Raw genomic sequence first — 17613 nt, 5'->3', positions numbered from 1 at the left:
TGTGGAGTTGGGGGAAGGGGGAGGGATAGCATTGGGAGATATACCTAATGCTAGATGATGAGTTAGTGGGTGCAGGGCACCAGCATGGCACATGTATACGTATGTAACTAACCTGCACATTGTGCACATGTACCCTAAAACTTAAAGTATAATAATAATAAATTTAAAAAAAATCCCTAAATGAATTTATATGTTTTCCCAATGGCACAAAAAACACAGGAAGTCAAACTTAAGGTTAGCTACTCTTATTGGAGGCAAGTTACAAAGAGAACGAAATACAATGATCCATGGTTTTCAACTAGGTTTAGTGCTATTTTTTTTTATTTTGTAGTTTAGTCCTGATCTTATGTTGTAACAAAGAGTATGATTTTTAAAAGTACTATAAAGCCTAGAATTCTTCTGTGCAAAATCTTGACTATGTAATTTATAAATGCATTACATGTTTCACTGACCAAATATACCTCATACAAACAATCACATTCAAGCACCTGGAGAATTCTAGAAAAAAAGGAAATTGGAGCATAAAGGGATACTGAAAGCTGCATAGTGAAACTGTGGGTGCATAAAGCTACACTTTCAGATAGGGAGGCAGCTTTATGTCTGCAGTTAAAACTTAATCTACCATTATAACTCAAACCCAAGGTCTAATAGGAGAGAGGAGGCACTGCATAGCGAGAGCGAGACTTTTATTCATACACAAATAGCAGTCAGGAAATACAACGCAATTATATAGAGAATTCCAGGCACAATAAATAAATGCACTCTTGTTAAATTTGCCTCAATGTGAAGGTAATATTTTAACATTCTGTTCTCAGCCTTTCAAATTGATTTCCTTTACTTGTCGTACATTTTTAAACAAACAACTGCATTAAAAAAATAAAGTCATTTCAATTGTTGAGCAGTTAATACTAGTATCTACCTTATTTAAAAGAGTCAAAACAAGGTTAATGCAGGTGTATTGACATCTTAACGGCTCCTGACAAGGTAATAGCTCCCTAAGAAAAGTAAAGGGTAAAGGTGTGGATACTGTAGCAACATCTAACATAATAGGATAAAATTATATTAAGTATATTTTTTGCTTTGTTTTCAGGGGTATAGTATATAATAGCTTTTTGAGAATAATGGTCTTACTGAAAATCACTACAAGAGTTAACTAAGAACACAGACATAAAATGTATATTAAAATATTAATACAAGTTAGTAACTAGTATTCGTTAGCTAGTAAATTAATAAAAATGTTAATATTAATATAAATACTAATATAGATTAAATATAATATGAGTCAATGCACTAAAAGTTGTATATATTTCTTTTAATATGCATAAGAACTTTGGTGGTAGGTTTTATTTTTATCCCAATTTAATACACAGGGAATGAAAATACTGCAAGAGATCAATTACCCTGACCAAGGTCACGGCAACTTAGAGACACAGCAGAGACAAAAGAGCCCAGTACCTGATTTACTTTTAAATATCAATCAAACACATATGAGTTTTTCTTTTGTGTGACTTTTAATTCAGTTGTGCTGACAACATTTTCAAAATCTATACCTATACCGAAGTCAACTGATAAACCCATTTTAACATGGTGTTTATGTTCCTTTTACACAATCTGTAAATTAATTGCATTATGGTTTCTGCCCACTCACTTGTCATTACAGTCAGCCTTGTTTGGTGGATGCACTTCTCAAGGGTCTGCAGTATTTGAACAATTCAAAGCAATATTTATGAATTTGCAGTGATCCTTCCTTAATAACTGAGACAAGCCTAGTCATTGCTCAAAATTTTCAAGATATTCTAGGACTTTCATTGTGAAATTTCCTTTCTGAGCAAAGCCACATATACTTGTATTTTTCTCACTTCCTAACTCCTATGCAACAGGGTGTGCTTGCTTTATTTCCCTGTTTTCTAGTTTATAGGCTGTCCTCTGAATTAACCTGGTCTTCTATTAAGTCCAAACCACATGAACCACAATTTTAATGATGCCCTGTTTGTGCAGCATTAGGCTTTTCTCAGGACTTTGTAGAAGAATGTCTGGGTTTCTAATTTAGCTTTAAAATATGCTATGTTTGTATTCTTGGGAGTTAAATAATTTTTGAAATCCAATTCTTTCATGTGTGAAAATGGATTAAATAACAGTAGTAACCATATAAAGTTGGTGAAAGCAATGTAATGAAACAATTCAATTAAAACATGTTGGCTGACAAATAATATGTGTTAATTGACATTATTAGCATATAAAATATCTTTACCATGTTTAACCTCCACCATATATACTAGCTTATGATCATTTCACTAGTTTCATCTTCAAGTATTTTCAGAATGAATCTATATTTTTATTACTAATGCTTTCTCAATATCTTGATGGCTAGTTGGAACTATTACAAATAAATTCATTATATCATCATAAATGGACATTTTCTCTGTTGTCTTCCTTAGAAATTATTTCAGAATTTGGCACTTTTGACAATAATTGATTTTAATTCTGATTTTTTTGTTTCTGCAACCTTTACTATTCTTGTGTCTTCTCCCACCTCATCAGCACTTTCATATCTTCATCACTTCTCCTCCTATTCAATGAAACTCCTGTCATCAAAATATGTCATTGTTTTACCAAAAGGGTTTGGATTGCAACATAAATCAGACCTTACCTAGCACCAACCTACATTAGTAATGTAAAAATCTAGGTGAAACTCTTGTTTCTGTAGAAATTCATATCTGTCAGACAGTTTCCTCAGTTTCCAAATTGATTTAAAAATAACTGAAGATCCTGAAAAATGTGTGCAGATATATTATTCTCAAAAAAGTTGTCCCAGTTTTGAGCTCCTTAGTTTTATGCTCTTATACAGAAAATTCCTAAACAACAAGCTCCTTTTAATCACGCATCCAAGCCCCACTAATCCAGATCTTTATTAATAATAGGCAAATCAAACATATACTGCTAAAGAGCATTTTTTTAAAAAAATACCTCAGTTAACTTTTCATTAGTACTACCATTAGTACTTTTCCAAGGACGTGTGATCAAAGTTGTTTATTTTCTTCTGCAATGAGACTTTCAGTAGGGAAGGAGTGAGTCAGTTATATGTATTCATTTCATGGGCTATTTTTTTTCAATCCAATCCTAGAGCTGGCATTTCCCCGAAATCAATGTCCACATCTCTTAACAAATTACTAACTCAAATATTCCTGCAAATGCCCTGCTATCACTTCAAACTCAATATCTTCAGAATCACAAACATCATCTTTTTTTATTTAAAATTTGTTCTTTCCATATTTTCAATTTGTCTTGATCACCTCAGTGTCCTGGTAGTCATTCAAACTTGCCTGGAATTCAAATCTTCAAATGTGTCATGAATTGGTCCTCATTTACATTTTCAAATCTACTTTCCAGTCACACTTTAGCCAAGTGGTACAGCTACTTATTACTTACTGTTCTAGTCTATATTCTCTCACCTTTAATTCTTTTCTCAGTTCCTTTATTCAGAAAACCAATTTATATATTTCATTATCTCTGAAAACCCCGCTTAAACTAAACTTTCTTTCTCTCTCAAAACACATCTATAGATCTACTTCATCATTAAAGTAATTTTCCCTTTTTATTTATTGCTAACATTCAGATAATATGAAAAATTCAAAATGAAAGTGATATTCCTAAGTATACCTGCCATTATCCATTACAAATTTGTAGTTTCCACAGAGCAAGACCTCCAGTGTCTTATTGTGGATAGCTTTCAGCACCTAGCTAAGTGTAGTTTTGATTTTAAAAAAATTTAGATGTTGTGGATTTAAATCAAATTGCTTCTTTGAAAAGCTCAAATTTTCTAGATCAATTTTCAATGAAATGTAATGAATAATATTTTTTCTGAAAGCAAAGCTGTGAGGAATGAAATAGATTGTAAGTAATATTTCATTTCATATAGAATCTCTTGCAGATCCAGTTTCTGACTAAAAACACTAGTAATTTTCTTCTACTTTTCCACTTGCTTTGCCTTATTTGCCCACACTGAATTACATGTTTTTCTCAAATGAGCTGCGATCTTGCGATCTTTAATGCTTCTCTGTTTATCCATAATGCTTTCCTTGCTCCTTCTGCTCCCTTCTCATTGCCAACCTAAGTTTTATTAATTCATCAAAAAGCAGTGAAACACTGCCTCTTCTAAGAACGCTTACCTGAAATTCTTTGGAGAACTTAAACTCTTCTTCAGCACCTTCACATAATGCTATGGGTTTAATGTGTCCCCAAATTTTATGTGTTGGAAACATAATCCTCAAAGTGGCAGTATTGTAAGGTGGGACCATTAAGAGGTGGTTGGATCATAAGGGTTCCACACTCATTAATGAATTAACGGAATAATGGGTTTTCATGAGAGTAAAACTGGTGGCTTTATAAGAAGGGGAGGAGAGAGTTGAACTAGCACACTCATCCCCTCTGTCACATGATGCTCTGTGCTGCCTTGTGACTTCATAGAGTCGCCACCAAGAAGAAAGTTCTCACAAGTTGAGACCCCTCAACCTAGACTTCTCAGCCTCAAAGTTGTAAGAAATAAAGTTCTTTTCTTTATAAATTATTCATTTTCAGGTATTTTTCTTAAAAGCAACAGAAAACACCAATACACATTACCTCTACTATAATATGTACTATATGTCTTTGTACCGTCACCCTCTATAGCCCAGGCTCTATGTGATAATACAATAAAACCACATCGGAACAACAATTATAACTGAAGAAGTTTGAACCTTTACTCAATATATTGAGACATCACAACTGAGTGGTGTGAATTCTTAGCATAAGCTAAGTACTTTAACTCGACTGTTCTCCATCACCTTCAATGTTTCCCTAATGGAGGCATATGTCATGCTTTCTCGCTTCTAACTATCATTGAAAACTTTACTTAAACCCAGATGTCTTACTGTGGTCTCTCCTTTCTCATTTAATTATTTAATATGGAGACAATTTAATCTTTCTATATCCTTTAGTATTCTTTTTACTGGCATGTTCAAAAGGTAGAGGAGTGTGGTGAGGGGAGAGAGAGAGAGCACCTAATGAGTTTTTTATTTTAGTAAAAAGGAGGTCTGTATGCATTGATATGTATGTTTTAAATATCAAGGATAACTGTAATTTTATGCTTTTGTACATAATAAATTTGTAATTGTATGTGTGTATGTGTAGTGGGTGTGTGTGTGTGTGTGTGTGTGTGCTTCCAGGACAGGAATATTCTATTCAGCTTTATACTCATAATGTATAACCCAAAGCATATTCCCTCATGACTGCTTAATTTTGGTAAAAGGAAATGAGTTAAAGTAACATTTTCATAGTTTGCTTTCTTTTAAATTTTAAATATTTAATTTTTATGGGTACATAGTATGAGTATATATTTATGGGGTACATGAGATATTTTGAAAGAGGCATGCAATGCATGATAATCACATAAGGGTAAATGGGTATCCATCACCTCAAGCATTTATCACATCTCTGTGTTACAAATGTTCAAATTATACTCTTAGTTATCTTTAAATATACTATTGTTGACTGTAATCACCCTGTAATTCTATTAAATACTAGAACTTAACTCATTATGTCTAATTACATTTTTGTAGTCATTAACCATCCTCAACTTCCCCCCATTCCCACTACCCTTCCCAGCATCTGGTGACTCTATCTCCATGAGTTGAATTGGTTTTAGTTCCCATAAATGAGTGAGAAAATGCAAAGCTTGTCTTTCTGTTATAGCCTATTTCACTTTTTTTATGTAATGTTCTCTGGTTCCATCCATGATGTTGCAAATGACAGTATCTCATTCATTTCTATGGCTGAATAGTGTATTTGTATATTATGCATAGTGTATAGTGTGTGTATTGATATTAATAGTGTATATGTATGTGTATATGTACTACATGTTCTTTATTCATTAGTTTGCTGATGGACACAGGTTGCTTCCAAATCTTGGCTATTGTAAACAGTACTTCAGTAAATATGGGAGTGCAGATCCCTCTTCAATATACGGATTTCCTTTCTTTTGGCTGTATACCTAGCAGTGGGATTGCTGAATCACATGGTAGTTCTATTTTTAGTTTTTTGAGGAACCTCCATACTGCTCTTCATAGTGGCTGGACTAATTTATATTCCCACCAACACCAGATGAGGCTCCCTTTTCTCCACATCCTCATCAGCATTTGCTATTGCCTGTCTTTTGAATAAAACCCACTTTACCTGGGGTAAGATCATATCTCACTGTGGTTTTGACTTGCATTTCACTGATGATCAATGATGTTGAGTACATTTTCATATACCTGTTTGCCATTTATATGCCTTATTTTAAGAAATGTCACCTCACAGGTTTTGCCTGTTTTTTAATTGAATTAATTTTTTTTTCTATTGAGTTGTTTGGGCTTCTTATATAGTCTGGTTATTAATCCCTTGTTACATAGGTAGTTTGCAGATATTTTCTCCTACTCTGTGGGTTGTCTCTTCACTTTGTTGATTATTCTCTTTACTGTACATAAACTTTTTAACTGGATATTATTCCATTTGTTTATTTTTGCTTTGGCCATATGTGCTTTTAGTGTATTAATCAAGAAATCCCTGCCCAGATCAAAAACCTGGACAGATTCCCCAATGCTTTCTTTAAGTAGTTTCATAGCTTGAGGTCTATTATTTATGTCTTTAATCCATTTTTATTGGATTTTTGCATATGGCAAGGGATAAGAATCCAAGCTTATTTTAGAAACTAGAATGAAATATTAGCAAGCTATGCATCTATATATGGATATCCAGTTTTCCCTGCATTACTTGTTAAAAAGACTGTCCTTTCCCCAATGTATATTCTTGCCATCTCTGTCAAAAATGAGTTCACAGTAGATGTATGGATTTACTTCTGGGTTCTCTATTCTATTTCATTGGTCTCTGTGTCTGTTTTGATGCCATTACCATGCTGTTTTGGTTACTATATCTCTGTAGAATAATTTGAAGTCGGGTAATGCAATTAACCCAGTGGTTTTTTGTTTTTTGTTTTTTCCTCAGTATAGCTTTTGCTATTCTGGGTCTTTTGTGCTTTTGTAGTTCCATATAAATTTTAGCATTCCTTTTTTATTTCTGTGAAGAATGTCATTGGTATTTTGACAGGGATTGCATTGCATCTGCAGATTGCTTTGGGTAATATGAATATTTTAACAAAGTTAATTCTTCCAATTCATGACTATAGAATATATTTCCTTTTTTTGTGTGTCCTCATCAACTTCTTTAGCCAATATTTGTATAACTTTCATTGTAAAGATATTTTACCTCTTTGGTTAAATATATTCCTAGTATCTTATCAATTTATTTTTCAGATTGTTCTCTGTTGGCATATATAAATGCTACTAGTTCTTATATATTGATTTTTTATATGTACCCTGCAACTTTACTGAATTTATTTATCAGTTCTAATAATATTTTTGATGGAGTCTAGGTTTTTCCAAATATAATTCATGATAAGATCATATCATCTGCAAACAAGGATAATTTGACTTTTTCCTTTCTAATTTGGATGCCCTTTTTTGTTTCTGTTATCGTAGAGCCTTACCTAGGACTTTCAGTTCTACATGAACAACATTGATTAAAGTGGGCATCCTTGTCTTCTTCCTCGTCCTTTTTTAGAGGAAAGGCTTTCAGTTTTTTCATGTTGAGTATAATATTAGCTGTGGGTCTGTCATACATAGCTTTTATTGTGTTGAGGTATGTTCCATTTATACCCCGTTTTTTAGGGTTTTTATCATGAAGGGATGTTGAATTTTATCAAATGCTTTTTAAGTATCAATTGAAATGATCATATGGTTTTTGTCCTTCATTCTGTTGATATGATGTATCACATTGATTGATTTTCATGTGTTGAACTATACTTGCATCTTTGGGATGAGCCCCACATCTTCATGATAAATGATGTTTTTTACATGTTGTTGAATTTGGCTTGCTGGTATTTTATTGAAGACCTTTGCATTAATATTTCATCAGTGCTATTGGCCTATACTTTTCTTCTTTGATGTTTCTTTGTCTAGTTTCAGCATCAGAGTAAAGCTGACTTCGTAGACTGAGCTTTGAAGTATTGCCCCTCCTATATATTTTTTTTATTATACTTTAAGTTTTAGGGTACATGTGCACAATGTGCAGGTTTGTTACATATGTATACATGTGCCATGTTGGTGTGCTGCACCCATTAACTCGTCATTTAACATATTTTTCACGATAATTTGAGTAGAACTGGTATCAGTTCTTCTTTAAAAGTGTGGTAAAATTCAGCAATGAAGCCATCGTGTTCGTGGATTTTCTTTTCTGCAAGACTTTTTATTACGGCTTCAAAGTCATTACCTGTTATTGGTATATTCAGGTTTTGGATTTCTTCATGGTTCGATCTTGGTAGGTTTATTGTTTGGAATATATCCATTTCTTCTAGGTTTTCTAATTTATTGGCATAGAGTTGCTTATGGTAGTTTCTAGTAGTCCTTAGAATTTCTGCATTATCAGTTGTAATATCTCCTATTTGCCTCTAATTTTATTTTTGTCTTGTCTGTTTTTTCATAGTTGGGCTAAAGGTTTGTTAATATTATCTTTGTAGAAAACTAGTTTTTCATTTGATTGATTATTTCTATTGTTTTTTATTTCAATTTCATTTGTATCTGCTCTGATATTTATTATTTATTTTCTTCTACTAATTTTAGGTTTGTTTTGCTCTTGCTTTTCTAATTCTTTAAGATGCATTTGAAGTTTTTCTATGTTTTTCAATTTAGGCATTTATTGGTATGAACCTTAGTATACCTTTTACTATATCTCACAGCTTTGGTTAGAAGTATTTTTACATTCAACTGTTTCAAGAGATTTTTAATTTCCTTCTTAATTATTTATTTGGCCTATTTGTCATTCAGGAGCATATTGTTCAATTTTTATGTGTTTATATAGTGTCTAAAGTTCCTCTTATTATTTATATCTAGTTTTATTCCATTGTGGTCAGAGAAGATACTTGATATGATTTCATTTTTTTTGAATTTTTAAAAGTTTTATATTCTACATATGGTCTATCCTTGAGAATAATCCACGTGCTGAGAAAAAGAAAGTGTATTCTCTAACCGTTGTGTTGTTGTCTCCAGCTATTATTATATTGAAGGGTCTATCTCTGTCTTTAGCTTTAGTAATATTTGCTTTGTATATTTGGGATCTCCAGTGTTAGGTGCATGTGTATTTACAATTCTTATATTCTCTTGTTGAGTTGACTTTTACCCTGTCGGCTCAAGTGATTCACCTTCTTCAGCCTCCCAAGTAGGATGGGCCACAGGTGTGCATCACAACCCCTGGTTAATTACTTTTTTTTTATTTGTTGTTAAGAAGAAGTTTGCTTATGTTGTCAGGAACTCTTGGACTCAACAACCCTCCCACCTCAGCTTCCCAAAGTGCTGGGATTACATGTATGGGCTACTGGGCCCAGCCAGAAAGTTTTTCAAAATTAATGCATCTTTCAAACATAATAGTAAAATACAATTTTTAAAAAATATATTTTTAAATTTTAATTTTTTTAACCTGTTGTAGTATTATGGTACCTGGTTCATAACTCCCATACATTCTTTTTTTGTAATGTTAGGTGTGTTAGGCCTCAGGACCAGGAATCACAAAACAGAATATTTCTGACCTTCTCCAGCCTTCCTTTCACTTTCCCCAAGGCAGGACTCTAATCTTCCCTTGCTTTTCTGATTGTGAGCTGTAAGACCCTGACCAGAGAGGGTGCTACCTTATACCCTGAAAGAAGGACTGCAATGCTATGAAGCTTCTGTAAAAACCCAAGAGAACTTGGTTCAGGGAGGTTCCTTATAGCTGAACACACGGAGGTTCCTGGATGTGGTGCACCCAGGGAGGGCATGGAAGCTCCCTGCCCCTTCCCCTATTCCTTGCCCTATGCATCTGCATCTCTCTCTGTATCCTTTGCAATATCCATTATAATAAACCAGGAAATGTAAGTTTAGTTTTCCCTGAGTTCTGTGAGCTGCTTAAGCAATTACTCAAACCCAAAGAGAGGATTGTTGGAAACCACAACTTGATGCTTGTTGGTCAGAAGTTCCGGAGACCCAGGTTTGCAACTGGTGTCTGGGGGCATAGGTGGCAGCCCCCAACCTGTGGGATTTGACACCATCTCCAGGTAAACTGTCAGACTTGAATTGGAGGACACTCAGCTGGTGGCCACTGCTTGGTATGTGGGGAAAAGTCCTCACGCTTTTCATCACAGGCATTTTGTTCTGTGTTGATGATTGTTGTTTCAGTGGGCTTTGAGTGCAGAGGAAAAACATGGTTGGAAAGAGTTTTTCCCTGAATACCTGTCTATACCAATATAATTGATTTCTGTATATTGACCATGTTGTCTTTGAACTTGCCCAAATCATTCATTAATATTATTAGATTGTATGATACTATGCACAGGATTTTCTAAATACACCACAATGTAAGCTGCAAATGATGACAAATTTTTATGCTCTTTTCAGTATTTATATCTTTTATCTCTTTTTCTTGACTCATGCTTCTTTCTGAAGTTTACTGTAAAGTGTTTAATAAAAGTATGGAAGGGAGACAATCTTGCTTTGCTCCTTATCATAAGGCAGAAGTGTTCAATATTGCACCAAATATAATGTTAGCCGTTAAATTCTGGTGGAATGGATTTGTCAGATTTAGAAGTCTGACTTTTTTTTTGATAATTTTTTTCTTTTGTTTTCTGTTTGTAAACATGCATTAATAATGAATTTTGTAAAAAAATTTTTCTCTATTGAGATGATAAAATATGTTTCAATAATGTAATGGTATTCATTGTTTAATTTCAAAATGTTAAACTAATTTTGTAAAATTCAATTAACTCTGCTGTTTATATTTTCCTTTGTGTATATTCCTGAATTTAGTGTGCTAATAGTTTGTTGATAAATTTCTCATCTATTGCATAAGGGACACTGGTTTGTAGTTGTTTTTTGTTTACTTATTTTTTGTAATGCAATTATCTAGTTGTAGTATTAAGTATATGCAACTAATGAATAAAATTTAGAAGCATTTTCTCTTCTAATTTCTGAAAGAGCTTATGGGTAATTGGCGTTATCTATTGCTTAAAAGTTTTTTTGAACAAACCAGCAAAATCATTAGGGCTTATATATATATTTTTTTTAATTGAGAGATTGCTAATAACAAATTTAATTTTTCAAATAGAAACCTTCCTAATGTGTTTCTTTTGACAGTTTTGATTTCAAGAAATGTGTCATTTTAATTGGTTATTAAATTTGTTGACATGTTTGCATAATATCTCCTATTTTCTCTTTCATGATATTTATCATTATTATATTTATCATTTATTGAGAAACAACTATGTAGCATGTGTCTTGATAGATTTTAAACATTTTTCTTTTTATATAATTACAGATTCAAAGGAAGTTGCAAAAATATTGTACAATTAGGTTCCATGTACTCTTTATTTTTACTCAATAGTAATATCTTAAATAACTCTCATAAAATATCAAAGCTATAAAATTGACATAGATACAATACAAAGAACTTATTCAGATTTACCAGTATAACATTGATGTTGTCACATGTGTTTACGTGTACATGTATATTTTTATGTGATTTTATGAAGTATAAATTTGCATAATCTTTTTTAAAATGTCTGTATATTTAGTAATGGTGCTTCCTCTTTCATTTCTGATTTTGGTAATTGGTAATTAGTATATTTTCTCTCTCTCTCTCAGCTTTATTATTAGGATTTAAACATTTTACTAGTCTTTCCAAAGTACCAGCTTTAACATGGTTGATTTCTCTATAGTTTTTAAAAAAATTTTATTACTTTAAGAAAATCTGCACATATTTTATTTATTTTATTTCATTTACTTGTTTGAGCTTTAGTTTTTTTTTTTTTCTTTTTCTAGCCTTTTCAAGTGAAACGTTAATCATTGTTACTGAAGTAGGAGGTGGGACTCGATTCTGGAGATGGGGCTCAGACACCAGAGCAAATTGAGGACTAGCTGAATCAGGGCTGGGATAGAAGCAGCTTTCCATATGATACACTCACCACTGTGCAATGTCAATTTACCATTGCCATGACAACCCTGGGGCATTTTGCATGTAATTAAAACTGGGTATAAATATGACTTCAGAATTGCCTCTGGGTTGCTATTATGGCCACACTGCCTATGAGGCCCTGCTCCACAAGGAGTAGAATCTCTGCTGCTATATATTGCCACTTCAATACAAGTAGTAGTTTAACACCACTGGCTCACTGTTGAATTCTTCCCTGGGTGAAGCTAAGAACCCTCCCAGGCTAAGCCATGATTTTGGGGCTTGCCTATCCTGAATCAATAATAAAGCATTATTTTGTTCTAATATAGGCACTTAGAAAATAAATTCTTCTCTAAGCAATGCTTTAACTCCATCCTATATTGTGTGTGTGTGTGTGTTTGTGTCAGGGTCTTATTCTGTTGCTCAGGCTGGAGTGCAGTAGTACAATCATGGCTTACTGCAGCCTCATTCTTCTGGGTTCAAGCAATCCTCCTGCCTCAGCCTGTTGAATAGCTGGACTACAAGAACATGTCATCATGTCCAGCTAATTTATTTTAAATTGTATTTGGAAAGATGAGATCAACAGCTCAGAATGTTGATCTGGGCCTCAAGTAATCCCCCTGCCTAGGCCTCCCAAAGTTGTGGGATTACAGGCATGAACCATCACACCTGGTCATCCTACACAATTTGGTATGTTGTTTTGGTTAATATAACTTAATTCCAAATATTTCCTAATTTCTCTTGGTATTTATTCTTCAACACATGAGTAATTTATAATGTATTGTTATCTAAATATCTTGGAATTCTCTATTCATATGATGCTTATTGATTTATAAATTGCTGTCAGAGAACATACTCTGAAATTGAGTTGTGACTTTCATCAGGCCTTATTTTATGTTACATCATATGGTCTATTTAGGTAAAATTTCGGCGTGCATTTGAAAAAAAACGGTCTATTCTGTATTTGTTTGATATAGTGTTCTACAAATTTCAATTAGGTAAATGTGATTGATAATGTTATTTAGATCTTCTACATGTTGACTGATATTTTTGTACTTGTTTTACACAATTACCAAGATGATTTAATATTCCATATTATGATTATGTATTTGTCTAGTTTTCACTTTAGTTTTGTAAATTTTTGTTTCATATAATTTAAAGCTCTATTGTTAAGTATGTACACATTGAGAAGTGTTAGGTGTTTTGATGAACTGAATCTTTTATCTGATACACACACATTTAGGATTCTTATCTATTCTTCTGAAATGATCCTTGTAAATGGAAATGTCCCTTTGAGACGAGTCTCTGTCACCCAGGCTGGAGAGCAGTGGTGCAATCTCAGCTCACTCCAACCTCTGCCTCCCAAGTTAAGTGATTCTCCTATCTCAGCCTCCCGAGTAGCTGGGACTACAGGCGTGCACCACCATGCCCAGGTAATTTTTGTATTTTTAGTAGAGACAGGGTTTCATTGTGTTAGCCAGGATGGTCTCGATCTCCTGACCTCATGATCCACCCGCCTTAGCCTCCCAAAGTGCTGAGATTACAGGCGTGAGCCACCCTGGCTCGCCAAAAATGTCCTTTTTTACTTCTCCTAACTTTATGATCCTTAATGTTTCCTTCGTTCATCTTTTTCCACCTCTTAAATTTCACCCTGTCTTTGTCATTTTATTTTAAAGGTGTTGTGTAAGCAACAGATAACTGTTTATTGTTCTCAAAAAAAAAAAAATTCCAGTCCACCACACTCGGCCTTTTAATTGGGAAGTTTATCTATTTTCATTTAATGTAATTGTTAATACGATTGGGTTTAAGTCTACCACTTATTTGTTTTCTATTTATTCAATCTCTTTCTTGTTCCTACATATCTTCTTTCCTTGCTTATTTTCGGTGGTCTGGCTATTTTGGTAATATTCTTTCCTTGAATTGTCTTTTTAGTTGTGTATCTTTTGTATCTTTAGATTTGCTCTATAATTTACTATATGACTTTTAAATTTATTAAGTCTATGTTCAGCTGAAATTGTACTCCTTCACAAATAATATGAGAGCCTCCCAAGCTGTGAGACATATCTCTTTTTTTGTATGCCACCTGCTAGCTTATGGCATCACTGGAGAGTCATCCTTGCCTTTTTATATGCCAACTGCTAGCTTATGGCATCACTGGAGAGTCATCCTTGCCTCCAGTTGTACCCCTTGTGTTCTGCTCCTCGGTGGTAGCTAACCATTTTGTAATCCTGCCTCCAGTCTTCAAAGGGTGGCTACACAGTATTCAGTGAAGCTCAGATATGCAGTCCTCAATGAAGCCGTCACAGGCTGGAGCTGAATTCTCTTAGCCCTTTTACTTTTGCTCTAGTTTTTGATTCTCAAATTTTTGTATTTCCACTGTCTTGTATTGTGGAGAAGCCCTGAATGCTTTAGGATACTCCTTATTCAGATCTCAAACCCTGTCTCCAGTCATAAGTTTACTAGCCTTGGGGACTCAGTGAAAATAGGTAAGAAAAAAGGGCAGGCAGTTGCAACTCTGTGGCTTATATTCCTTGGGATTCTAATCCATTATGTAAATCCACATGTACTACCTATTAAATGCCCACCTGGTTTCTCCTTAAACCTATCTGCCAATGTTGGATTTATCTTTATAATCTTACTTCCACACTGTAAATGATGAAATGATGGAAACAACTAGTAGAAAACACGTGTTAATACTTAGTATTTGGTTCTTCTAGATTTGTTTGTGCTTCCAGCTATGTATTTCTTTTAATGTTAGCATTCTGTAGCTTACATGACTTGTTCCCCTGGTTCAAATGAAAGTGACAATCTCTTGCTACTTTCCTACACTGTAACCAGTAATTGTGCTTCATTTTCCACTTAACCCTATATTTCAGGCTCTCCCATGAATCTACAATTAAATCTAATTACAGCTCCTGTTTGTTGCATAAACCATGCTATAATAATCCTTTTACCTGGTCTTGGCCCCATAGATCCCCTCAAGTCTGCGTTACCTCCCACAGGCTGTGTTGACTCTCCTGGCATCTGTCTCCTTATGAACTTTAGTTAAATTTATTGGAAGGGTTGTTTTTAATTGCTTTCCAGAAAAATCATGAGAAACAGAAGCTGAGTCGACCTTTCTTAACCTCTTCTACTATATTTTTGTTGGTTCTATTTATATCTTAGGTGGCTGGTCAGATTTTATCAGTTTTATCTGAGGCTGAACTCTCAGCTCCTCCGTTTGCCTCAGTATCTACCACAGCATGCTGCTTCTGGACAAGCCCACACCTGAAATGGTACAAACAATTGTACCATTTCTTCACCTGAAATGGTACAAACAATTTTCCTACCTCTCTGGTCCACTTCCTGACTTCATTGAGAAACCATTTCACAGGGCTTTAGATCCACCATCCTAAGCATCTGCCAAAAGTTCTGAATGAAACAAATTGTTCTCCAATGGGATGGTGGAAATAGGAAAGAACCAACGAGATGAGTTATTTTTCTCCCTTGGAGTGTTCCTAGGCAAATATTTTCTATGATGTTTCTTCAGTGATTTGCAAAATTTCACGTGCAGAGCCATTCATTAAGTCTTCCTGTGGCTCATTGTAAATTGGAAAGAGCTCCAACACAACACATTGCATTTTTTCTCATTCTCCCTGACCTTCCTTCTCTTCCTCCACACCTTTATTGTCCGGGATTTCTTCTCCCAAATAAAGCTTTAGTATCCATTTCTTGTCTTCATCTTTGTTCTCTAAGAACTGGAATATAGTGGTTAATAGTGCAGTCAGATCAGCTTGGCTCTGCCACTTCCTAGGTGTATGGTTTCTGAATGTCACTTCATCTATAGAAACATCAGTTTCTTATTATATAAAACAAAAGTAATATTAATAAATAATTTTGGGCTACCCTCTTTGGGTCCCCTCCCTTTGTATGGGAGCTCTGTTTCCACTCTATTTCACTCTATTAAATCTTGCAACTGCAAAAAATAAAAATAAAAAAATAAATAATTTTATGACTACATCAATGTAGTTAGAAGAGCCCTAGATAGGAAATAACAATTAATGTAGCCTGACTGGTCAGCCTCCAAGTATTCCCTGCCTCTACTTCACATCCTTTCTCCCAGTCCTATGTACTTGCCGTCATAACAGATGGTGGCAGGCCCTCGGAAAGGCCAAAGCCTGAGGGGTGAATGGAAACGGGGAGAATGATCCCAGATTTCAACGCTAGTGCTCTGAGACAGCCAGCTCTAAGGAGAAGAAAAGGCATGCAGCAGAAATGGAAAAGAAAGCAGACATGCAGGAAAAAGATTATAGCTACAAGAGACCATGTGATGAAAATGACTTTTGACATGAATGTAGATAGCTTCTACTTTGTAGTTTATGGTTCTTACTAAAAATCAGTCATCATGGCTCTGGTTTTCCATGTGTTAACCCAGTTTTCTCAAATACCTTCCCATTTTTCCCAGAAGCAAATTCATAACAGATTTATATTATTTGCAACAAGAATTTTAATTGACATATTCTTTAACATTTTTCCAATCTTATTTTCTTATCATATATTTTAAATTCATCAGCATTTACTCTCTTAATAAACTATTATGTTTTTGTAAAAGATTTTTCTTTTCATTTTAAGAAAAAAGACACAAACATAAGTATGATATGTTATGTGTGTGTGTGTGTATTGATTATTACCAAGGTCTGTGAAGTTGAGCATTATATATTTAGGAAGAATTACCTTATCTTCTCTCAGCATAATGCCTGTCATATCTTCTGTGCTCAGTAAATATTAGTTTGATTAAATGGAATATGAATATTTAAAAATCTCATAGTGATCACTAACTATAGAATTTGGTAAAAATGAATACATCTTTCAATTGCGTTAGTGACAGAGATATAGAGGGAAATATATTTTTGGAAACCTAATATATATCTACATTTTAAATAATTTTGCCCAGAGCTTAGATATGATGTTTGAAACATGAACAAATGTCGGAAAAGTATTATGATAAACTTTACATTAACACTAAATAAAGGCATTTTCTCTCTTTCTTTCTTCTAAGGATCAATAATTTGAAAGGTTAACATGTACTCCTTTGCCTAGTAACAAAAGGCAAAAGCACTGGCAAAGCTTCAAAATCAATACACATATTGGAGAACTGTTGAAACTCGTGGCTACAAGAAATAAAATTGAAGAAATGACATAAAAACCAATTATTGCTATCAGGTTTAACAAGATAACATGAAACAAAACAAAATTTATTGCAGCTTAGTGGCTAAAAATCAAATTATACATTTCATGTAAGAGCATATATTGCTACAAATTTTATCATTCTTCTTTGCCAGTTCATATCTACTGTAATATAAATTTCATCAATCCTATGATTGTATTGTGTGTCAGTATCTAATTCTTAAGCTACTGTAAAGCAAAATGTTATCATTAGCATTCTTTGTTTTACATTTTATATGTGGTATTTAAAAATGTGATATTATAAAGTCCAACTTTGTAATTACTTCATGTTCCATAAATAACATTCCTGGCTATTAATAAATGATTAAGTTTTTCATGTGTTTATTACAACAAATGCTA

Source organism: Homo sapiens, chromosome 8, assembly GCF_000001405.40.
Source record: "Homo sapiens chromosome 8, GRCh38.p14 Primary Assembly".
Taxonomy (NCBI): Eukaryota; Metazoa; Chordata; class Mammalia; order Primates; family Hominidae; genus Homo; species Homo sapiens.
Note: the sequence above shows the minus strand (reverse complement) of the source record.